We start from the raw sequence: 25,701 nt of genomic DNA on the forward strand, positions 1-25,701 counted from the left end.
AAGCCTTCCAGCAAACTAGAAATAAAAGATGTGATTTTATATTGTAAATATACAAGGTATCTAAAATAAACTACAGCAAATATACATAATAAACTATTAAAAGCTTGTTTTTTAATGTCATAAACATGATAATGATGCTGCTGTAAACATTTTTGTTAACTATTGCATCTGTGGTTCCAGTCAACAGATTAAAATGAGAAATGAGTTATACAATTATACTTGCAAAGAAGAATTAGTCAATAAACTAGTACCTAAACAATTGGTTCTACCTAGGTAGACTGGATACCTGAAAAGCAACTCACACAAAAAACTTGTTCACATAGATTAAGGAATTAAAACTTTTAGGAGAAAATACAGGAAAATATTATAACTGGGGTAAAAATTTTCTAAACATGGCACAAGATAAAAATAATGCATAAAAATATTTATAAATTAGACTATCAATTTTAAACTTGATTATTAATAATGTATAAAAACATGTTTTACTACAGATAATGCAAAGGCAAAGCAAAATTGGGAGAAAATATTTTTAAAAGACATACTACAAAAGATTGATATTTAAAAATATATATATTACAGACCGGCGCTGTGGCTTACACCTGTAATCCCAGCACTTTGGGAGGCTGAGGCGAGTGGATCACCTGAAATCAGGAGTTCAAGACCAGCTGGCCAACGTGTTGAAACCCCATCTCTACTAAAAATACAAAAAAATTAGCCAGGTGTGGTGGTGCGTGTCTGTAATCCCAGCTACTTGGGAGGCTGAGGCAGAAGAATCACTTGAACCCAGGAGGCTGAGGTTGCAGTGAGCCAAGATCACACCATTGCACTCCAGCCTGGGCAACAGGAGAGAAACTTCATCTCAAAAAAAAAAAAAGTTTTTTATATATATTTTTATATATATATATATAACTATTATTTATTAGACTATTATGAATAAGAAAAAGACATTAAATATAGGAGAGATGGCAAGTCTTAGATCTTATTAGATCAATAAACATGAAAAATTCCAACTTCATTAGTAACTATGAAAATGCTAATTAAAACTATAAATGATACACTTTTCTAATTCACCATTTTGTCAAAAATTATGTCTAGTAATTCTAAGTTGGTAAAAATATGGAGTAATTGGAATTCACAAATATCCACTGGCAATAAGATTGATTTATAAATTGATGTATATTTACACTATGCAGCAGTGAAAATGGACAACTACAGCTATGCTAAGCAACATGAAATAATAAAAAAATTATAAATAAAAAAGCAAGTCCCAAATATAAAATGGTAAAATGTATATAAACGCAAAAAACAGGCAACACTAAAATGTATATGGTTTATAGATAAAAATGCATAAATTAAAGAATAACACAAAATTCACATGGTGGTTACTTTGGGTAGGAGGTTAATAAGAGACTTCAGAGGTATCCACTTCTCAGGAGTGTGTGAGAGTTTCATGAAGCCAGCCTGAAAGTTTTATGAGAGTAGAGACCAATACTTTCTTTTCTTCATTTTATTTCCTAAGCCTAGCAAAAAGTATGGCACATTGTGTATGCTCAACACACATTTATTGGTTAAATGAATAAATGCATGCCCTTTGTAAACTGTCAAGGTATGCAAATTGAGACTTTATTATTAGTTACTATAGCTTAGTTAATAGAATCAAATAAAAGGTAATAAACTGTAGCATTCAGAAAGCACTATTAAAAGTTTAATGTTAACCCAGCACTGTTGGGTAAAATAAATTAAAATTTTTCTGTAATCCTAGCACTTTGGGAGGCCAAGCTGGGCGGATCACTTGAGGCCAGGAATTTGAGACCAGCCTGAACAACATTGCAAAACCCCATCTCTACTAAAAATACAAAAATTAGCCAGGCGTGGTGGCGCATGCCTGTAATCCCAGCTACTCAGGAGGCTGAAGCCTGAGAATTGCTTGAACCCGGGAGTCGGAGGTTGCAGTGAGCTGAGATCGCGACACTGTACACCAGGCTGGGCGACAGTGTGAGACTCCGTCTCCAAATTAAAAAAACAAAAAAAGTTTTTAAAGTTGTGACCATTATGATTACATGTAAATTGCCACATGAAGATGGAACATGAAATCTGACTTCAGGTGAGCATAATTTGAAAGGAAAAGGCAAAACAAGAGAAAAGAGTTAAAAAGGACGAAAACTTAATTGGGTCAGATCTGCAGGTTCTACCCTGTGCTGCTTTTTAGGAAAGTTGTCTCCTCTCCTGGCACAGAGGAAGGCTGGCTGGGGGAGCCTGGGCCCCTCTGTCCTCCCCGCGGTGACAGTGGCTGATGTTTGCTCAGGCATGAGGCGCGCCGCAATGCCCTGGGCCTGAGGCTGACGGGCCCCGCCCCTCCTCCTTCCCCTGGACTCTTCCACGATGTCTCTGTGCCCCTGTGCCTTCCTGTGCGTCCCTCTAATGAAAGGGGGCAGTGGCAGCATGAAGCTGGTGGCAGGAACTGGCTCCGCAGGCTGAGGAGGGCTCGCCCAGCTGTGGGAAATGCTCCACTTGACATCGGCTTTCTGTGCACCGATCTGGGCCTCGACCCAGGGTTAGAGCCGTGGCGTCCCTGGCCTGGGCGACCCCGGGGGCTGGCACTCCGGCTGCTGCTGCGGTTGCCGCTGTGCTTGGCTGGGCCGCGGCTGGGACTAGCGCCCACTAGACGTGCAGGAGCCACCCCGCAGGAGGGAGGAGGTGGTATCCATGTTCCCTGAAAAACAGGCTCTGCTGACAAATCTCAGACGCCAGGAACAGAAGAACCGAAAGAAACTGCAAGAGTTTGAGCCAAAAGGATGGACTGTTGGAGTAGCTGAGGGTGAAGCTGCCGGAACTCCTCAAAGTGGAACAGCAAAGCCAGCACCAGAGATGGACAAGAAAAACAAACTATCAACGAAAATTCGCAGAAATCAAAGTTAGATGCTAAAGCAGCGAAAAACCGTTCACGCCACGATAGAAACAGAGTTGATGATGGAGTCTGAGAAACGAATCTTAGGGAGAGAAAGGACAGCAGTGAACATGGTCAGGTGCTGAGGATTCTGGTCCACTGGACCCCACCATCCCTAGGATAGTAAATACCATCCCAGTCATCACCCAGCAAGTTACCACCACAGCATTTCCTGTGTGTTTCAAAAAAATAAATAAAGGTGATTCTTAACATAAGTGCAAATAAAAAGTCATTCATCATAATCTAAACTGTCATAGTTTAGTTTACATTTTAACGTTCTTTATCGTGCTAAAACCTTTGGTTTTTTAAATTTAATTTAATTTGGGATGGAGTTGTTGCCCTACTGCCCTGGCTGGACTGCAGTGACGCGATCTCGGCTCACTGCAACCTCGCCTCTCGGGTTCAAGCGATTCTCCTGCCTCAGCCTTCCGAGTAGGTGGGATTACTGGTGCCTGCCACCACTCCCAGCTAATTTTTGTACTTTTAGTAGACACAGGGTTTCATCATGTTGGCCAGGCTGGTCTCAAACTACTGACCTCAAGTGATCCGCCTGCCTCGGCCTTCCAAAGTGTTGGGCTTACAGGCATGAGCCACCATGGCCAGACAAACATTGTTTTTTAAAGTGGCAGCCACAATTTTTGTCTGTCTGGATATATTTTGGACTTTTGTATATTAAATATAACGTAAAATAGAAACTTTATTATGTTTTAGGTAATCTAACATTGATGTACACAAACAAACTTTACAGATTACTGTAGGATTCAGTAAACGATGTATACGACATTTATGTCTCTAGTTTTTGATGTATTAATTTTATTTTAGAAAAGATTGGCTTCTTTAAAAATGTCTCCAAAAATGTAGGCTTATTTTATAAAATGCCAAAATAGTCAAAAAATGTAAAATACCATTTTGCATTTTACAAAAAGTAAAATACTATTTTGCCGTTTTATACAATAAGCCTGAATTTGCCATACTGTATGAATACTGGTACTCAATTAAAACACCAAATATTTTAATCAAAATTATTTAAACTATGTTTATATAATATCTCAATTTTTAACTACAGCGATAGACATAAACAAATATTTCATAAATCAAACCTATTAGTATTAGGTTTATTTAGAAGTAATATATAAAAAAGATCTGTTCAAAATGAATATTTTTCATAATAATTTGGTGTTTTCAAATATGCCGAAGTCTTATTTTGATCAGAGTAAGCCTGGGGATAGTTGACTTATTTCATTTTTTTTGGATAGTGTGTTCCAAATTTTCTAGTTTAACTTAATATCGACTGATGATGGGTAAACATTTTTTTAAATATTATAGGCCTATTATATTGTCAATGTTTTTAATTTAAAAATTCTGTCTTTTAATATTGTTTCAGGGATTTAGGTCTAGTTGAATCCGCACAACCTGTTAATCATTGTCACCTGCCAGATTACAATTCACTGTCAGTGTGCCTGTATGACTCTTCTTTCCATATTCTTTGAATTTGTATTACTTATTTGAAAGTTATATAATACAGCTCATACATTTCAAATCAAATCACCAGGTAAAATGAATTCGGGCTTAGTGTAAAGGAGCTGTTAGAATCTTAGTGTTACATATATAGATGGATGTGGCTCAACGATTTAAACAAAAATATTGAACTATAACATGTGTTGCCATGAGTCAGCCTCTAATGAGTTTATAGATAAATCCAGATTTCACCACATTTATCCAGTGTGTTCAATACCTCTAAAGGTGGTATATCAACAATTCTTATGCTACTGTCTGAGAAAACAGATTCTGCTGTTACCTAAGAAATCAGCTGGGAGGCATTTTTATAATCTTGCACCACATAAGGAAAAACTGAAAGGTAGTACTAATAAATGCAAACTACATCACCTGGAAAATGGGAATCCAGAATGTCACTTTAAATATTTAAGTGTTGTAACTTTGGGTAAAAAATAAATATGATAAAATAAATCTTTTGGTAAGCTTTGTGTAGCTTAACATCAGCATAAAGTAGAAAAAAAATCTTAAAAACAATAGCCTACACTAAAAAACAAAACAAAACTAACATCCAATTCATATATATTGATCTTTGCATTGGGAGAGTCTAAAGCAGAACATTTGATGGACTTGATACAGTTATTTTTACCATATGGGCATACTGATAAAATCATCTATATTTAATTTGAATAAAACATGTTGGCAGGGCACGGTGGCTCACGCCTATAATATCAGCACTTTGGGAGACCGAGGTGGGCGGATCACCTGAGGTCAGGAGTTCAAGAACAGCCTGGCTAACATGGTGAAAACCTGTCTCTACTAAAAAAAAAAAAAATACAAAAATTAGCCAGGCATGGTGGTGCGCGCCTGTAATCCCAGCTAGTCTACTCGGGAGACTGAGGCAGGAGAATCGCTGGAACCCAGGAGGCAAAGGCTGCAGTGAGCCGAGATCATGCCAATGCACTCCAGCGTGGGCGACAGAGCAAGACTCCGCCTCAAAAAAACAAAAACAACATGTCTGCATCTTAAAAATTCTACTTTGTACTATGAGTAATAAATGTCAAGTCTTTATCCTCAAGAGGATCCTGATTCTCAACCCAACATATATAGCAACCCATTCCCTGGTTTCTCCAAACTGAGGCCTCATTAAGGCTCAAATATGGAGTGAGAGAAACACAACAACAGAGCACGTGAAATAAGGATGAGGTAGGATGGTCAGCTCTAAGGCTCAGGAATTGCCTGGGGCATCCCAGTATAATGATGCCAACTGTGAAGTTTACTATGTAAAAATAAACATAAAATGAACATTGGTGAAAGTCTCTGGAATTATAAACAGTTGTGCCAAAAGGACTGAGCCAGAATGACCTGTATTTAAGAAGTAAGGCAAATGTTTACTAGCACATAAATATTTGTTCCAAAGTTTATTACAGTAGCAATATTCTTTTCAGTAATGTCAGCTTTCTCAAGCTAAGGATGCCACAGACAAACTAAGTGCCTAATATATTGTAGGCAATTAGTTTCTAAATTCAACAAACTTGCAATAATTTTATAAATTTCACTGAACTCTGTTGCATGTATATATCTCACTGAAAGGCACTATCCGGTAGCTGTGTCCTTCACTTTTTTCTGGGATTTTCTGTTGCTGGATTCCAAACCAACTTTATTTGAATCCTAGTAATTTCTAAAATTCCAGATTTAATAACAGAAAGAAAGCAGAAATTAAGCCCAGAAATTAGGTTACCCCAAACAGTCCATATCAAATATATTTGATTCCCCAAAAGAAACAAATATTACACAAAGTAAACAACAGTGGGTTTAAAATTCAACCTAAATTCAAAGGTAGCAGTTAACACCATATGCAAAAATTAGCAAAGTCACAATGTAGAAACTCTTAGTCTGTTATTCCAGAAAAAATAATAACATTTTTATTTTGGCATTTTTTGGAAAGAATAAATACATTAAATATAACAAAATACACCCACTAAACTATAATAAAGGATCTTTGAAATATAAATGATTTTGTTCTTATTTTTAAATATTTACTGTACTATATTCAGACAAGGCTTTCAGTGAAAAATACTTACAGCTACCATGTATGAATTAAAACAGCCCTGGGGGAAATAGTATTTTTTATTAATAATGAAGATTGAAGCTCCAAGTGATAGAGCAGGAGCACCATCAACTCAGACAAACACTGCCACTTTAAGTTCTAGCTCCCTTTCTAGCCTCATGCATTTCAAGGAAATCACTTCTCTTCTAATTACAAGCATCCAGAAAGAGCAGACAGTAAAATACAGGTAAGACAGCTCAGGTGGGCACGGTGGCTGACGCCTGTAATCCCAACATTTTGGGAGGCCGAAGCGGGCAGATCACGAGGTCAGGAGTTCGAGACCAGCCTGGCCATCATAGCGAAACCCCATCTCTACCAAAAACACAAAAAATTAACCGGGTGTGGTGTGCGCGCCTGCTCGGGAGGCTGAGGCAGGGGAATTGCTTGAACCAAGGAGGTGGAGGTTGCAGTGAGCGGAGACCACGCCATTGCACTCCGGCCTGGGTGACACAGCGAGACTCCGTCTCAAAAAAACAAAACAAACAAAAAACAGCCAGCTCGGGCACAGAGGGAGGTGGAAGGAAAGTCTCTTGAGTAACTGCCAATCTTCACCCTCATACAATGGGCCCCAGTAAAACAGTGGGCCTTAATAGGCACATTCTTTTCCCTTCGGGTGCACTAAGATTGGGAAGCTAAAAGCAGACTGGGGGGCTGTGCCTGCAGCTGCAGAAAGATGTATGGGAACAGACACACAACTCTCCCTCCCAGATAAGCACAACGAAGAGACACAGAAGCAGTCCAAGCCTCCGATAAACTCTCCCACCCTGAATCCTTAAAAATTTTTAGTCTGTAAAAGAGTGTGGCTCTGACCTAACTCGGCCAGCTGCCCCCCTAGGTTTATTCAAAATAAACCTGTCCCTGTTGACTGTCAAGCCACCCTTCGTGTTTCTCTTCTCTTTAATTCTTATACCAAGGATGTAAAATAATTTCCCCTGGGAACACAGCTAATGACCCAAATGAAGCTCAAATGAAGGCATTTAACATTCATAATTTATATTTTAAAAGTAAAATACTCCTGGATATAAAAAAAGGAAAAAAGATATAAAAACAAATGAGAGAAAAGGAAGGAAATGGATTACTCACAATATCTAAGGTATGGAAGCAACCTAAGTGTCCATCAACAGGTTAATAAATAAAGAAAATGTGATATATTTGCACAATGGAATGCTACTCAGCCCTATGGGGAAAAAAAAGGAACTCTTGTTATTTGCAACAACATTGATGAACCTGGAGGACATGATGCTAAATAAGACGGCACAGAAAAAAACTTTCATAATATCATTTCTATGTAGAGTATAAAAAGGTTTAAACTCATAGAAGCATAGGGTAGAATGATGATTGTCTGGGGCTGGGAGTGGAGGAGATGTTGGTCAGAAGTAATGGGGCTGATTTTGTGAAGAGACGAAGACTGAGCGGTTGTGGCCACGTTGCCGACCTCGAGCAGCAGTTGGCTTCTCCACGTAGAACCTGGGAGTAGGAGACTCAGAATCGAATCTCTTCTCCCTCCTTCCTCCTGTTTTTGGCTTTGTGGGAACCTTATCAAACACAATGGCCAGCAATGTTACCAACAGAACAGATCCTCGCTCCATGAACTCCCATGTGTTCACTGGAAATCTCAACACTCTTGTGGTCAAGAAGTGTGATGTGGAGGCAATCTTTTCGATGTGCAGCAAAATTGTGGGTTGCTCAGTTCATAAGGGCTTTGCCTTTGTTCAACAGGTGAATGAGAGAAATGCCCCGGCTGCTGTAGAAGAGAGAAGGGCAGAATAATTGCTGGCCAGGTTTTAGATATTAACCTGGCTGCAGAGCCAAAAGTGAACGGAGGAAAAGCAGGTGTGAAATGATCTGCAGCGATGTATGGGTCAGTAACAGAACACCCTTCTCCATCGCCTCTATTCAGCTCCTCTCTTGACTTGGACTATGACTTTCAACGGGATTATTGTGAAAGGATGTACAGTTGCCCAGCACATTTTCCTCCTCCTCCTCCTATTGCTTAGGCTGTAGTGCCCTCGAAACGTCAGCATGTTTCAGAAAACACCTCATGAAGGGGCAAAAGTGGCTTCAATTCTAAGAGTGGACAGCAGGGATCTTCCAAGTCTGGAAAGTTGAAAGGAGATGACCTTTAGGCCATTAAGAAGGAACTGACCCAGATAAAACAAAAGGTGGATTCACCCCTGGAAAACCTGGAAAAATTTAAAAGGAACAGAGCAAACAAGCAGTAGAGATGAAGAACGGTAAGTGAGAAGAGGAACAGAGCAGGAGCTCAGTGAAGAAAAATGAGATTAATGTGAAGTCTGAGGGGGGCGCAGATGACTCTGCTGAGGAGGGGGATCTACTGGATGATGATGATAATGAAGGTGGGGGATGGCCAGCTGGAGTTGACCAAGGATGAAAAAGAGGCTGAGGAAGGAGAGGATGACAGAGACAGCGCCAATGGCAAAAATGACTCTTAAGCACATAGTGGGGGTTAGAAATCTTATCCCAATATTTGTTTACCTAGGTGCTTCTCTAAGATCAAATTTTTTACCAGATCTTCTTCTCTAGTATCTTCAGCACATGCTCATTGTCCTTGTCTTTCCCATGTTAATTCATATTGCCCTGCACCTAGGTCCCATTTCACCTCCTTTGACACTCCTAGTAGTTTTGTTAAGTCTTACCCTGTAGTTTTTGCTTTTAATTTTGAAACCTCTTTATGACTTAACAATAAAAAGGACGTATTTCTTTTTTTTTTTTTTTTTTTTTTCCTGAGATGGAGTCTTGCTCTGTTGCCCAGGCTGGAGTGCAGTGGTGCAATCTTGCTTCACTGCAACCTCCACTTCCTGGATTAAGTAATTCTCCTGCCTCAGCCTCCGGAGTAGCTAGGATTGCAGGCGCGTGCTACCAAGCCCGGGTAATTTTATTTATTTTTGTATTTTAAGTAGAGACGGTGTTTCACCATGTTGGCCAGGCTGGTCTTGAACTTCTGACCTCGTGATCCACCCGCCTCGGCCTCTCAAAGTGCTTGGATTACAGGCATGAGCCACCTTGCCCGGCCGGATTTACGGTTTTTATCAACTGTCTCCAAAATTATCTCATTATGCAGAAAGTAGTTTTTTTCATTCATACAGTTTCAGTAGTCGCCTCCCTAACTGCAAAAGCAATCTCATTTAGTTGCATAGCTCCTAAAAGCAGCTGAGTTAGAAGTATGTGTGTTACACCCCCACATAGGTGTGATTTGTGGGGCAGTTCAACACAAATATAACAATGTATTTTTGTGAATGAGTTGCCATGTTAAATGCATCCTCTAGAAAAATAGTGTTATAGTGTTACGATTTGCTTTTTAAGGTTGATACTGTGGGTTATTTTGTTAACAGCCTGATGTTTGGGACCTATTTTTCTCAAAATAAACAAGTCTTTATTAAACCAGAAATTTGGGGGAAAAAAACAGTGTCTTCCCTACATTTCCTACCTTAACACGTAAGTTATTCTCCTCTCAGTTTTGATTCACCAGAGGATTGAATCATATATCCTGAAGAATCAAAACCGAATAATATATCTGTTAAGGCAATGCAGGTTGTACACTAAAATTTCACATGCTTAGAATAATATATTTTTTGCTCACATCCCCATCGTCTGTGAACTTTTTTTTTTTGAGATGGAGTCTCGCTCTGTCTCCCAGGCTGGAGTGCAGTGGCACTAGGTCTAGTTGAATCTGCTCAACCTGTTAATCAGTGTCAGGTGCCAGATTCCAATTCACTATCAGTGTGCCTGTATGACTCTTCTTTCCATAGTCATTGAATTAAATTATTACTTATTTGAATGTTATATAATACAGCTCATACATTTCAAATGAAACCACCAGGTAAAATGAGTTGTGGCTTAGTATAAAGAAGCTGTTAGCAACTTAGTATTATATATAGATGGATGCGGCTCAACAAGAATTTAGACAAAAATAATGAACTATAATGTGTTGCCATGACTTAGTCTCTAATGAGCTTATAAATAAATCCATATTTCAGCACACATATAGTTTTGTTCAGTACCTCTAAAGGTGGTAAATCAAGAATTCTTATGCTACAGAGAAAACAGATTCTGCTATTACCTAAGAAATCAACTGGAAGGCTTTTTTTTTTTTTTTTTTTTTTTTGAGGAGTTTCACCTGTCATCCAGGCTGGAGTGCAACAGCACGATTTCGGCTCACTGTAACCTCTGCCTCCTGGGTTCAAGCGATTCTCCTGCCTCAGCCTCCTGAGTAGCTGAGATTATAGGCACACGCTACCACACCCAGCTAATTTTTGTATTTTTAGGAGAGATGGGGTTTCACCATGTTGGTCAGGCTGGTCTCGAACTCCTGACCTCAGGCGATCCGCCCACCTTGCCTCGCAAAGTGCTGGGATTACAGGCGTGAGCCACTGCACCTGGCCATCTGTGAGTCTTTTGTCTGCTTAAGAAGACTTAATCTTTCAGGGATTGTATCTTCTTTCATTTTCTATCTGCATCCTCCTTTTTCTTTAGCCAATGGATGAAAACAAGATGCAGAGAAGACATATTTGCGTCTTATCCACACATCACTTCCACTCACTACTAGTCAATGTGGGTAGAGCTGAGAATAGCAGTTTCCTGGCAGGACAGCCACTTCCTAGCAATAAAAACACACTAAAAAAATCATAAATCTTCTTTAAAAAGCTAACATATTTTAAACAAAATAAGTATATGCATCAATAATAAAGTGCTTGTGGTAAAATATTACTTTTATTTCTATTGAGCTCGGGTAATATTTGGCCAAAAGATAGCAAATATACAGCAGAAAAATATTATTTTAAATAAGAATATTGTGAAGTTATTCTGTCAATAGAATACTATTATGACCTCATACTAATAGTCTCATCTATAGTTATGCAATACCAAATGCTTTTTATTAAAAGTTGCATTTTAAATAATTATTCCATTTATATTACCCTCTTTCACTATTTCAATGCCTTCTTCCGTTTATATCAGTGGAAAACAGGCTAGCTGGTGCCAGGAAAGAACGTGCTGCTATCGCTGTTTAACGATGATGATGAAGAGCACTTGTTTGGGTGGTATTCACGTGCCAAACACTGTTATTTGGCTTAAAGTACTGGTTTTCTATTTTTCCCTAAATTTATTGATAATATACAATTTTTTAGCTAAGAAGATTTTATCTCATTCATATGTTTTATGGAATTTGGTTTACGTTTAACTGTTTCTGATTTATCTGGAATGTGAAAATTTTCCATGAATCCAAATTACTATAAACAATCTTTTACTAAAAGCCTTTGTGAGGCAGAGTAGGATTCATACTTTTTATAATATGGAAGAAATGTATTAACCATGTTCACAGTAATGACTCTGAATACAGCATTCTCAGTGCCCAGTATTCACCCTGAGTCACTCAGAAAAAACTGGTATCTCTGCAAAGACACAGAAAAAGGTGCCAAGAGGAAGTGCACCACATTGCACATAAATGCTTTCCACATGCACCTATTAGGGTCTTAATTTAATCGGCTGTTATTTGCATGTCCAGATGCTTCCTGAATCTAGTCATACAAGTTTTTGGCAGCTAATGGCATCTTTTACCCATTAGTTTTATATGATGATTTGTGTGGCTGGGAAATAAATTTTTTGTCAATTTACTCTAAATTGAGAGACTAGATTTGCAATCTTCAATCTTTCAGTGTTAAGGCAAATCAGATAAGAGCAATGTGTTATGTAGCATGCATTTTTCTGCCTATCAAAATTCTTGTATTGCCTTGGAAACCCGAGGGAGCCATCTAAATAATACTCCCTTTGAAAATCCTTTAGCCAGAATTTTAGATTTTAAAAGGTCAAGAACATAATGATCGAGCAAAGCCAAAATCATGTCTTTGCTCCGTGTTAGTAATCAGGCCATTTCAAAAAGCATGGCAATTATGCCAAGCCATTGAAAAAATGTGGTTTTGATTAATTTTATTCTACTTCAAATGTTTCATCTAATTGTTACTTTTATCATGTTAAACTAAGAAAAACTACATATATAACTCCATGCATTCTAGACATAATCATACTGTTTAAAGCTCAATATTGTATTACAGTATAGTAAAACCCTCTGTAATTAGATGTCAATTATTAATAAATTTATTATGTCTTCAAGGTATTTCAATTGTAAAAACTATTTAAATAATTAGGTATGCTTTTTCATAATAAGTTCAATTCTAGGAGGGTACACACTAGTCTCCATGGTATTTTTGTAATGAGTAGTGTAAAACTGGGCTACCAGAATGGTGCAGACATGCTGATTTAATTATAGTAAGAATGAGATCCCTTGTTGGTAGGCTATTGATGTTCCAGAGGCTGATCATTCACTACGGCTTTCTAAATGTCATTCCATAGTGCCAGTGAGCCCTTTCATCCAGGTTGTTTCTTCCTCCCATTGACGTAATCAGTGTTGTCTCCTCTGTTTATCTTAGGCTATCTCAGATGAGAGGTGATTTTTTTTCTTTTTGCATAAATTAGACTCCTTTTTTTTTTTCCTCTGCCATGAGATCCTTCTGTCCTCTCTACTGGAAGCACCATGTGGGAGGCAGGAATGATGACAATATACAAATATATTTCCTGCCACGTGGCCACCATAAGCAGCTTACAGCATGGCCCACCTAGAAATCACTTACTTCCAGGCCAGCTGAAGTGTTTTTGTGTCCCTTTCTCTTAAAAGCACCTCTGATTCAGTTTAGCCCAATCAGGATAATCTCCCTTTTGATGGCCACAAAGGCAACACATTAGTGACCTAATTTTATGAGTAATTTCACACCACAGTTACAGTTTTTTTACACTCAAGAGGAAAGGATTACACAGCAGGTGTGAAACAGGCTTGGAATCTTGAGGATCATGTTAGAATTTTGCCCACCCACCTGAATAGACTTTTAAAATAGTCTTTTAGATTTTTTTTTTTTTTTTTTTTTGAGACGGAGTCTTGCTGTGTTGCCCAGGCTTGAGTGCAGGGGCGCCGGCGCCATCTCGGCTACTGCAAGCTCCGCCTCCCGGGTTCACGCCATTCTCCTGCCTCGACCTCCCCAGTAGCTGGGACTACAGGTGCCCAGCTATTTTTCGTATTTTTAGTAGAGACGGGGTTTCACCGTGTTAGCCAGGATGGTCTCGATCTCCTGACCTTGTGATCCACCTGCCTCGGCCTCCCAAAGTGCTGGGATTACAGGCGTGAGCCACCACACCCAGCCTAGTCTTTTAGTTTCTTTTGTTATCTAAGTAAACAAAGATAATACCTGCAAATAATAATTAATTACTTTCCAATTTTATTCACAACAAATATTAACTAATTTTTTTTCTGGCTTAAATTATTTCTCTTTAATATACCATTTTATACATTCATGCACAGATATAACAATGCAAATGTATCCAATTATTCAATTTCTAAAAATTTTTTATTTAAAATGAGTTTAAAATAATTATTTTCTGTTTGAAGTTTTTTATTGTTGTACTCAAGAGTGTTACCTCTGTGCAGACAAAGTTGCCTGTGGTTTAATATTGGCTCTGCTATTGTGAGCAAGTCATTTCTCTCAGTAGCTCTGTTTCTTCCTCTGGTAAAATGAGGGTAATAATGATACCTATGTTATTAAGTTACTGTGAGAATTAAATTTATTAACACATATATAGTGTTATGGTCAGTACTCAGTAGAAATTAGGTAATTTTAATAAGATAATTATATGCTGAATTACTTTAATACATGCTTTAACACAGAAATATTTTTCCCTAAGACATGACTTTTTCAACCAATAGACAAATACATATTTATATTAATTCTTTTAAAAATGTGGTATAAACAATGAAATACTATTCAGCGTCAAGAAAGGGTAAATCCCATTATTTGAAACAAGATAAATTTAGAAGACACTATGCTAGATGAAATAAGCCAGACACAGAAAAACAAATAGTGCATAATCTCGTGTATATGTAGAATTTAATAAAGTTTAACTCAAAAAAGTAGAAAGTGGAGTAATGGTTACCAGAGACTGGGGGTGGTTGGAAGGAAATAGAGAGTTGTTCATCAAAGGGTACAAAGTTTCAAATAGGGTAAATAGGTTTTGAGATCTATTGCACAGCAGGGACTATAGTAAACAATAATATATTGTGTATAGTAAACAACAATATACTGTGTATTTCAAAATAACAGAGTAAATTTCAAATGTCTCACCACAAAGGATAGGTAAGTGAGTTGATATACATATGTTATTCAACTCAATTATTCTATTTTTTTTTTTGAGACGGAGTTTCGCTCTTGTCACCCAGGCTGGAGTGCAATGGCTCACCGCAACCTCTGTCTCCCGGGTTCACGTGATTCTCCTGCCTCAGCCTCCCGAGTAGCTGGGATTACAGGTGTGAGCCATCCATATTATATAGGTATATTAAAATATCACATTGTACCCCATAAATGTATACAACTCTGATTTGCCATTTAAAAATACTATTAATACTTTTCTTAGAAAAAAGAGAGAAATAAACTTTAAGAATTGGGCCAGAGAAAAAAGTGTTTTTTTCATCTTAAAATTCCAGGAAACACACACACACACACACACACACACACACACACACACACACACACACACACACATTTTTTTATTTCGACTGGTTTGCTCATTTAGTGATGTAGGTTAGTAAACTTTTAATGTTATGAATAGTATGAACCCAACACTCAAGAATAAATTTTCTTGATTTTTAATGTTCAAAATAATAAAATACTTTAAAAGGCTCTAAAGCTACTGTTTTGAGTAAAATTCTCTCTAAATGTCTAAGTAAATTATTTCCTTCACTTGTTAGAGAAACAAGTTATTTGAATATATATATATTTTAAAATGTATATATATATATATATATACATAATTTTTTTTTTTTTTGAGACAGAGTCTTGCTCTGTTGCCCAGGCTGGAGTGCAGTCGTGCAATCTCAGCTCACTGCAAACTCTGCCTCCTGGGTTCAAGCATGAATATGTATTTTTAAACTACATTTAAATTTACTGGAGTGCTAAAGAACAGTACTCAATGAGAAATGTTACCATAATATTTATATTTATGCTGTATGTGAATCTGCCAAGGATAGTATTAAAAACATTTAACTACTATTATAGCCCCAGATTGACTGATTAGAATTAACATGGGTTACGAACTACTGATGTGGCCAGCTTGTTTTCAGGCTTAACACTAATCATGATCTAACAGAATAAAAAATGAGAGCTAATAAATTTCCTGTACACTCGCTACGTGACTAAAAATGAAACAGACGGGAATTACTAATCAGTCACTTACAACGTGGTTTAACTTTAACCCTTTACTTTCATTTTTAGGACTTCTTGTCTATTCCAATCTAGCTACTTTTCACAGGGGACCTAAGCCATCACATGGAATTAAAAGGGGGTCCTAGGGCAACTAAAATTTTCTGGCTTGGGCTATACCTCAGTGTTATCTAAAGGCCTTTGGACTAACTCTAGTCCCCACTATTGCATTTTCCTTTTCTATGGTGGCTATTATGCCTCCTATCCCTTCTTTGTATACAATGTCGTGGATGTTTCTGCAACCTAAAGATATAATCTTGTTGGGTAGAGTTAGTCAGTGTCTTAGGAATGTAACTTTAAAAAATTGCCATTTTTGTGATTCCTTGAGATAGGGGGACTTTGGGATTTCAGTCTAAATTTTCTAGTAAGGGCGTTTTGTCCCCAGTAATAGACATTTATGGCACTGTATAGGGGAAGGTCACCTCATGTAAATACCCTCCCCCTCTCCATTTGTTTCTTCCCTCCATGTAAAAGTTCAGCATTGTCCAATGAGTTTGAACAGTTGATTTTCTTATGCTGGGGGGCATACTATAATAATAGCCTATCCAACCCCAAACCTAACTTTTGCCTAAAAAGAATTTGGAGTCAGAGTTTTTACCTAACACTTCTAATCCTGCAGTGCCACATAATGGAATAGAATTTTTCTCCATGGGGAGCCTTGTCAGCCCTTTGCCCAAAACCTCTCATCTTCCATTGTTTTCCCTTTTATGTCTATCAGTAATCAGGCCCCACATCCTATGTGTAAACAGAAAAACTCCACTTTCAACAGCCAGGAGGAAGCCATCCTAATAAGACAAATCTTAGCTTCAATACTGTCCCCAACAAAGAAAGGCAGCCATTCAATTTTTACACTTTTAAGGCATCTGTTCTGCATTCAATTACATTGGCATTCAAACGAGACAGAAATTTTATGTATAAAAGTTAATCAGTCTTACTTTGTGCTTTTTTAATTCTTCACTGGGGCCATAGCAAGGAAAGCCAAAAATAGTATTAAAACATTCCCTTCATTAAAAAATCTTGCCCAAATCCAACTACTACATACTTTCTTCCAACATCTGGGGTACCCTGGGAGCCTTTTGGGCTGAGTGGGTCTAGAAATCCAGCAGGGCAAAAGGCTAGAATTTTAAGCAGGTAAGTGTAACTAAATCCTGCCGACTAGCTTCTCCAGGAACATGGGTAAAGGTCACGCTTGTATCCATGTTGCAGCACCTATCATGGTAGCCTGAACCCAAAGGAGAGAGAGAAGGAGGAGAAAGAGGATGCCCCTTCTCTCTTGCTCTCCACCCTGGGTCACACAAAAGGGAGAAAAGGAACTAAGGAAAGCTTTGTTTCTCCCTCTTGTTCTAGATGAGCAACAGACCATCTGCAGTCTATACTCCCCTCAAGTGTATTCTAAATTACTAAAGCTCCTTTAACCGTAAAACTCTAAAAAAAAAAAAAAAAAAAGACTTATATTCTCTTGCATAAGGGCACAGCCATCTTACAAATTGGAGACCTAGCCAGTCAAAAAACAACAATAACAAAAAAGCCCCAAGGAAAAAAGGGTAGAACAAGATCCCCATTCCCAATTAAAATAAAACAATGCCCCTTAAAAACCTAATTAAAGTCTTGGTGATCCCATAAATACGTAATAAAAAAAAAAAAAACTTTCTAATATGCATTTTAAAAAGCTTGCAAAAAACCAAAACCAAACCTCGTAGTAACTCTAAACTGTCCTTGCTAAATCAAAAACCAAATAACGCACCCCCACCCCGCCACCTTTTTAAATAGCCTAAAAAAAGCTTTAGTAAAAACACCTACCTGTATCCCAACTCAATAAAAAAAACAGGTTTATTATTCAGGCAGCCCTTAATATTAAAAAAAAATTAGTTGCAAAAACAGGCTGTTTCCAAAAATCTAATTTTGCTCAGCCTCAATTTAAAACTTTGCAGTATGTAAATAACACTTTCCTCTGTGCCCCAACTGAGGGGGTCTTTCAAAAAGGCACTAAGGTTCTTTTTAATTTTCTAGCAGGTAAAAAATATAAAATATCGGCCGGGCGCGGTGGTTCACGCCTGTAATCCCAGCACTTTGGGAGGCCAAGGCGGGCGGATCACGAGGTCAGGAGATCGAGACCATCCCGGCTAAAATGGTGAAACCCCGTCTCTACTAAAAATACAAAAAATTAGCCGGGCGTAGTGGCGGGCGCCTGTAGTCCCAGCTACTCGGGAGGCTGAGGCAGGAGAATGGCGTGAACCCGGGAGGCGGAGCTTGCAGTGAGCCGAGATCCCGCCACTGCACTCCAGCCTGGGCGACAGAGCGAGACTCCGTCTCAAAAAAAAAAAATAAAAAATAAAAAATAAAAATAAAAATAAAAATAAAACTCACTTCCTAACTTAAAAACCTAAAACACAGGCCAGGCACGGTGGCTCATGCCTGTAATCCCAGCACTTTGGGAGGCCAAGGCGGGTGGATCACGAGGTCAGGAGTTCGAGACCAGCCTGGTCAACGCAGTGAAACCCCATCTCTACTAAAAATACAAAAATTACCTAGGCACTGTGGCAGGTGCCTGTAATCCCAGCTACTTGGGAGGCTAAGGCAGGAGAATTGCTGAAACGCAGGAGGCAGAGGTTGCAGTGAGCCAAGATTGGGCCACTGCACTCTAGCCTGGGTGACAGAGCAAGACACCGTCTCAAAAAAATAAAATAAAATAAAACCTAAAACACAAAAACTTTTAACCAGCTAAAGCACAGTCTCTATGGGAAGACTGAGGGCTGATGCCCTCAGGTATTTAATTTCTATGTATCAAAAGAAAAAAGAAAATAGCCCTAAAAGTTTTGGCTAAGGCTCAAGCTCTGACTCAACAGCAAGTGGGCTAACCATGGAAAATAACTTAACTGTTTACACCTCACACAGTACTGCAAAACTGTTGTCCTCTAAAAAATAGTCTCTGGCCATCACCGCCTCAAATATCAAGCTTTGCTGCTAAAAAAAATCTTCAGTAAAACAAACAAACAAACAAAAAAAAACCTTGCCCTTGCCCAAACCCAGACACTTTCTTTAAAAAAAACCCTCTAAAAAAACCTAAACATAATTGTAAACAGGTAGTGGTGCAAACTAGGAAAAAAATGGTAAAATTACTGTTTATATTCTCTGTGAAGTTTTAATTAATAAAAAAAAAAATTCTTAAAAAGCATTATTGGCTAGGCACAGCAGCTCATGCCTGTAATCCCAGCACTTTGGGAGGCCAAGGCAGGCAGATCACCTGAGGTCAGTAGTTTGAGACCAGCCTGGCCAACATGGTGAAACCCCGTCTCTACTAAAAATACAAAAATTAGCCGGGCATGGTGGTGGGCACCTGTAATCCCAGCTACTCGGGAGGCTGAGGCAGGAGAATCACTTGACCCTGGGAGGCGGAGGTTGCAGTGAGCCAAGATCGTGCCATTGCACTTCAGCCCAGAAGACAAGAGCAAGACTTGGTCTCCAAAAAAAAAAAAGCACTATTAAAAATAAATATCCAAGCCATAAATATATTTTAAAAGGTTTCATGTTTTTCTCTTCATAAATCTTTTCTAAAAAAAGTTTCTTAAGGGGCTGGGCACAGTGGCTCATGCCTGTAATCCCAGCACTTTGGGAGGTCAAGGCAGGTGGATCACAAGGTCAAGAGATCGAGATCATCCTGGCCAAGATGGTGAAACCCCTTCTCTACTAAAAAAAAAATACAAAAATTAGCTGGGCTTGGTGGCGTGCGCCTGTAGTCCCAGCTACTCAGGAGGCTGAGGCAGGAAAATCGTTTGAACCCGGGAGGCAGAGGTTGCAGTGAGCCAAGATCGCACCATTGCACTCCAGCCTGGGCAACAAGAGCAAAACTCCGTCTCCAGCAAAAAAAAAAAAAAAAAAAAAAAATTTCTTCTCAGTCAACTAAATGACTTTTCTCCACTGTGCCTTGCCATTCTTGGTCCATTCATAAAAGGTCCTAAAATAATTTCTGGTGGCCCAAAACTTCTTAAAAACAAGAACACCACAAATCTCATTTAAAAAAAATTTTTCTCATAAAATCCCTAAAAACTGTATTCCTAGCCCTGTAAATAAAAACTGTATTTCTAGCCTTGTTCCTAAAGGGCTTTACCCAGAGGCCAATAATCCAGTTAAAAACTGGCAAGTAAAAAATCTTGTAACTACTAAATCTTTTTTTTTTCTGTGTGGTTATACATGTGTTGTGTGTGTAATGTCTATTTAAAAAAGCTCTAATTAAAAATAAGTGCTTAAATCAATTTTTTTAAAATGAAGGCTGTGGTACCTTTCAGTTTATGTAACTTTAATCTTTAAAAAATAAAATCAGCCTTAAAACTTATTAATAAAGTATAAATGTCTTCAAAATGTAAATAGGTAATCAAAATTATTCTGGCCAAATATTAAATTTGCTAAATGTTTTAAGGTTGTAAACTGCTCCTTTGGCCTTTAAAAACTGTTCTATTTGCCTGCTTCACAATGAGTAAGGCCAAAAAGCGTATGTGCCCCTAACTATGCTAAAAAAAGTCAAAATTCATCTGCACCTAGAACATAACTAAAACAATTTACCAGGTTTTACATTCAAGTTAAAAATTGCTGAAAGTTATCATTATAACATATAATTAAAACTACTAAAAAAAATTTACATGCAAGGTATGCAAAAGCAGTAAAATGTGTTTTTAGTAAAATCTTTTTTAAAAGTACGTTTTGCCTAAAAATAAAAAAAGTCTTAAAGCAAAAGCTTTAAGCAAATTGTAAAAAAAAAAGAATTGTAAAAATTAATCTTGCAAAAAAATTCTGTATGTAAACATATCAACTAAAATTCAAAAGGATATTATATAGTTTTTCAAATTAAGCATTAAAATACAAACACAAGGTTTTATTAAAGCACTAATCAACTCTTAGCAAAATTTGTAAAGGGTTATAAAAGGTTTATAAAACTCTCACCTCATGGTCTAATTAGTTAAAATTGAAGAAAATTGTTTATAAGGTTTCATTAAAATTGGGGTTAACATTAACAGTATGCAAAAGTAAAATTTAGCTTTCTTTCTTTTAATTAAAAATTTTTTTTTTTTTAAGATAGATTCTCGCTCTGTCACCCAGGCTGGAGTGCAGTGGCGTGATCTCAGCTCACTGCAACCTCTGCCTCCTGGGTTCAAGCTATTCTCCTGCCTCAGCCTCCTGGGTAGCTGGGACTACAGGTGCTTGCCACCACACCCAGCTACTTTTTTTATTTTTAGTAGAGACGGGATTTCACCATGTTGGCTAGGATGGTCTTGATTTCCTGACCTCATGATCCACCCTCCTAGGCCTCCCAAAGTGCTGGGATTACAGGCGTGAGCCACCACACCTGGCCAATCAAAATTTTTATGTAATAATAAGAGCTAGTAAAAGGTTTTGCTTTTTCAAATTTTAAATCATCATTTTAGCAAAACAAATAACTTACGGTAATTTAAAATTTTATTTCAGAATATCAAGTGTTTTAAACCTCCAACATCTTCAACAAACTTCACAAGATCAAATTTCAGTTTCAAAGTTGTCTTTTCTAATGTCTAGCTCTTGAGTTCTGCAAGGGGCTCCTGGGGCATCCAAAACAGAGGTTAACAAAATTATTTAACAAGTTTAGGTATATAAAATTGCCAAATTAATATCTAATCTTCTTCAGGTTATATTTTAGTAAGTATCATTAACATATGTTCCAAAACCATATAAAATATCTAAGATTCTAATGTCTAAATGTGCACCATCAATCACAATTAAGGTTATGTTATTATAAGCCACAAAAATAACCACATTTCTTTGTCAATTGTGCTGCTAACTGTAACCACCCTAAACATTTTGTCATTTATAAACAATTGTTATTTTAATTTTCTTCAAAAAATGGTTTACAATTAGCTGTAAAACTTTAACAAATGTTCTCCAATGCAGGTTTCTCATAACAAAACAAAACTCATAAATAGCTCATAATAAAAAAATTCTATAATAATAAAACTCATAATAAAAACTCATATTTATAAATGTCAATAAAATAAACTCACCACTCATTAATAAAACTCATAATAAAAACTTATAATATTTATAAATATCAAGCAAAACAAAAGTTAACAAAATAAACTAAACTAATAAAAAACAAAAGCAATGTTTTTAACTTTTGCTTAAACCATTGCTAATCTTGGCTGGGTGTGGTGGCTCATGCCTATAATCCCAGCACTTTGGGAGGCCATGGCAGATGGATCACCTGAGGTCGGGAATTCAAGACCATCCTGACCAACATGGAGAAACCCAGTTTCTACTAAAAATACAAAATTAGCCGGGCGTGGTCGCGCATGCTTGTAATCCCAGCTACTTGGGAGGTTGAGGCAGGAGAATCGCTTGAACCCAGGAGGCGGAGGTTGCAGTGAGCCAAGATCGCGCCATTGCACTCCAGCCTGGGCAACAAGAGCAAAACTCTGTCACACACACACACACACACACACACACACACACAGACACACCCACACACAAATTGCTAATCTTTATTTTGCTTTTCAAAGTAAGTAAGAATTTCTTAAAACCTTTTAACAAGCAAGGTACACTCCTGTAAATAAAATTTAAAATGCATTTCTTTCTCTCAGCCTAGCTCCTCTAAAATCTAAAAACTAGTTAAATTATTCTTGACTTACAACAATATAGTTGTTTGCATCAGTGCAACACACACACATACACACACACATAAATGTGCACCTCTTCCAAAAACCCTTAAACTAGCACCCCCCCCTAAAAAATCCTAGCTACTGTTCCCTACACAATGCCCCTTTCAAGCAAAAAGCAGTCCAAAAAAATCCAATGCCTAATCTCTATAAAAATAGTTAGGGTTTCCACTCCTGAGTGGAGACTGAAAGAAGTTTGCTTGCCTTAGGTAAATAGCAACAGAAAGGTCTCTGAAAAGTCCCCAGCCCATGAGTCATTGCCTCCACCCCATATAATGTAAAATGCAGCCTGGAAAAAAAAATTCAAGCTGCAGGCACCAATAAAAAAACAGGCACAAAGTATTGTGCCTAAAAACATGCCCACAACTGCACAAATAAAAAAACCCTCCAGCCTATTTACATAAAAACTTGCACAAACCTCTAGCTCACTCAAATAAAAAACAAGGCCTGGTATAAAATGCCTTTATCCTTTATATAATCAGAGGGCTCCACAAAAAGTTTCTTCTCCTTTTGTGGGCATAAACACAGTGGGCTCCAGTGGGCACTCACCTTTATTTAAACTATACAGCGGCTCCTATAAATCATCATTTCAGACCCTAATTGGTCCCAGGCCAAGGTCCCAGGCCAAGCTTTCACTTCAGCTTCTAATAGGTCCTGGGCCAAGCTAAGCAGCATCTATATATCATCATTTCAGCTTCTAATTGGTCCTGGGCCAAGATCTCAGCCCAAGCTTTCTAATTAGTCCCAGGCCAAGCTAAGTCACAAGATCTCCAAAACAGCCCACAAACTAAGCACATTTCTTTTTATTCCTAGTCCATAATAACCCTGAACCCCAGCCTCACAGGGGGAACTCCTACTCAGAAACCCCTCTCTGCTAGCAAAAAGCTTTCTTCTTTTGCTTATTAAACTTTCACTCCAACCTCACTTTTGTGTTCGTACTTTTTAATTTTCATAAAAATAAAACAAAAAACTCTAAGTGTTATCTCAAACAAAAGAAAACCTGTTAAATCTTGTTGCATTGCTAAAACTACATAGAACTACTCTAGGAATATACCAGGAAAGGCAGGATAATTCACAGTCCCTTTAAAGGAAGCAAATAGCTCCTGTAGGACCTGGGAGACAGCCCAAATATTCTGAGTGCCCAAACTGTAAAAATGGAAAATGGGGCTTTATAAGCTCCCAAATTTATAAAACAATAACTATTAGACCTAAGAAATTAAATAGACAGAAACATAATAATAGTGGGGGACTTCAATACTCCACTGACAGTACTAGACAGGTCATCAAGATAGAAAGTCAATAAAGAAAAAACGGATTTAAACTACACCCTGGAACAAATGGGCTTAACAGCTGTTTACAGAACATTCTAGCCAAAAACCACAAACTATGCATTTTATTAATCAGGACGTGAAACTTTCTCCAAGACAGAACATATGATAGGCCAAAAAACAAGTCTCAATAAATTTAAGAAAATTGAAATGATATCAAGTACTTTCTCTGACCACAGTGGAATAAAATTGAAAGTTAACAACAAAAACCTTTAAAACCATTCAAATACATGGAAATTAAATAAACTGCTTCTGAATGATCATTGGGTCAGCAATAAAATCAAGACAAAAAATATTTAAAAATTTTAATGGAATGATATAGTGACAAAACCTATCAAAACCTCTGAGATACAGCAAAGGCCGTGCTAAGAGGAAAGTCCATAGCTTTAAATGTCTACATCAAAAAGTCTGAAAGAGCACAATATACTAAGGTCACACCTCAAGGAACTAGAGAAACAAGAACAAACCAAACCCAAACCCAGCAGAAGAAAGGAAACAACCTAGCTCAGTGCAGAACTAAATAAGATTAAAAAGAAAAAAAGACAAATGAAACATAAACCTGGTTTTTTAAAGGATAAATAACATTGATGGACCATTAGCAAGATTAAGAAAAAAAGAGAGAATATTCAATTAAGCTTAATTAGAAACAAAACAGGAAATATTACAACTGACATCACAGAAATACAAAAGATCATTCAAGGCTACTATGAACACCTTTACACACATAAACACAAAAATCTAGAGGAGATAAATTAATTCCTGCAAATGTACAACCCTCCTAGCTTAAATCGGGAAAAATCAGAAACCCTGAACAGACCAATAACAAGCAGTGAGATTAAAATCGTAATTTAAAAAATTAACAACAAAAGAAGTCCAAGACCAGACAGACTCACAGCAGAATTCTACCCAACATTAAAAGGAAAATTGGTACCAATCCTATTGACACTATTCCACACGACACGGTAAGAGGGAACCTCCATAATTCATTGTATGAAGCCAGCATCACCCTAATACCAAAACCAGAAAAGGACATAGCCAAAAAAGAAGACTACAGACTGACCTAATGAACACAGAGGCTAAAATCCTTTAAAAAAAAAAATCTAACTGAATCCAACAACATATCAAAAAGGTAATCCACTATGATCAAGTGGGTTTTGTATCAGGGATGCAGGGATGATTTAACATATACAAGTCAATAAATGTGATACACCAATAAACAGAATTATGAACAATGATCATCTCAATAAACACAGAAAAAGCATTTGACACAATCCGGCATTCCTTTATAATTAAAACCCTCAGCAAAATCTGCATACAAAGGACATATCTCAATGTAATAAAAGCCATCTATGTCAAACACACAGCCTACATAACACTGAACAGGGTAAAGTTGAAAGCATTCTCTCTGAAAACAGGAACAACACCAGGATGTGTACTTTCACCATTTTTATTTAACATAGCACTGAAGTCCTAGCCAGAGCACTCAAATAGGAGAAAGAAATAAAGGGCATCCAAAGAGGAATTTAAGCTGTCACTATTTGTTGATGATATGATTGTATACCTAAAGAACCATAAAGACTCCTCCAAAAATCTCCCAGAACTGACAAGTGAATTCAGCAAAATTTCTAGATACAAAATTTATGTACACAAATCAGTCACTCTGCTATACACCAACAGTGACTGGGTTGAGAATTAAATCAAGAATGCAACTTTTTTTTACAATAGCTGGAAAAAAAATACTTAAAAATATACCTAAACAATGACATGAAAGACCTCTACAAGGAAAACCACAAAACACTGCTAAAAGAAATCACGGACGACA

The 25,701-nt window shown here is 37.5% G+C and overlaps 1 protein-coding gene and 1 pseudogene across 3 annotated transcripts in view, besides 1 other annotated feature; one reads left to right on the forward strand and one right to left on the reverse strand.

Annotated features, from left to right (window-relative positions):
• Positions 1-6,343: 6,343 nt before the first annotated feature.
• The window catches only part of ZNF680 (zinc finger protein 680), a 64,003-nt gene continuing 44,645 nt past the window's right edge, over positions 6,344-25,701 (reverse strand). For 2 of the 3 annotated variants that reach the window (XR_428175.5, XR_001744687.2), the window contains one exon: positions 6,344-8,648. The gene's annotated coding sequence lies outside the window, so the exon portion shown is untranslated. Of the gene's footprint in view, positions 8,649-21,304; positions 21,442-25,701 lie in introns of those variants that run through there. The other variant, XR_007060018.1, reaches the window with a different exon arrangement.
• Positions 8,100-9,004, forward strand: HNRNPCP7 (heterogeneous nuclear ribonucleoprotein C pseudogene 7; annotated as a pseudogene).
• Positions 16,932-17,132: a silencer, noted in NCBI's record as "peak6531 fragment used in MPRA reporter construct". NCBI's record gives its function as "represses an SCP1 promoter by STARR-seq MPRAs in K562 erythroleukemia cells {active_cell/tissue: K562}" and the evidence as "EXISTENCE:reporter gene assay evidence [ECO:0000049][PMID:32103011]".

Source organism: Homo sapiens, chromosome 7, assembly GCF_000001405.40.
Source record: "Homo sapiens chromosome 7, GRCh38.p14 Primary Assembly".
NCBI lineage: Eukaryota > Metazoa > Chordata > Mammalia > Primates > Hominidae > Homo > Homo sapiens.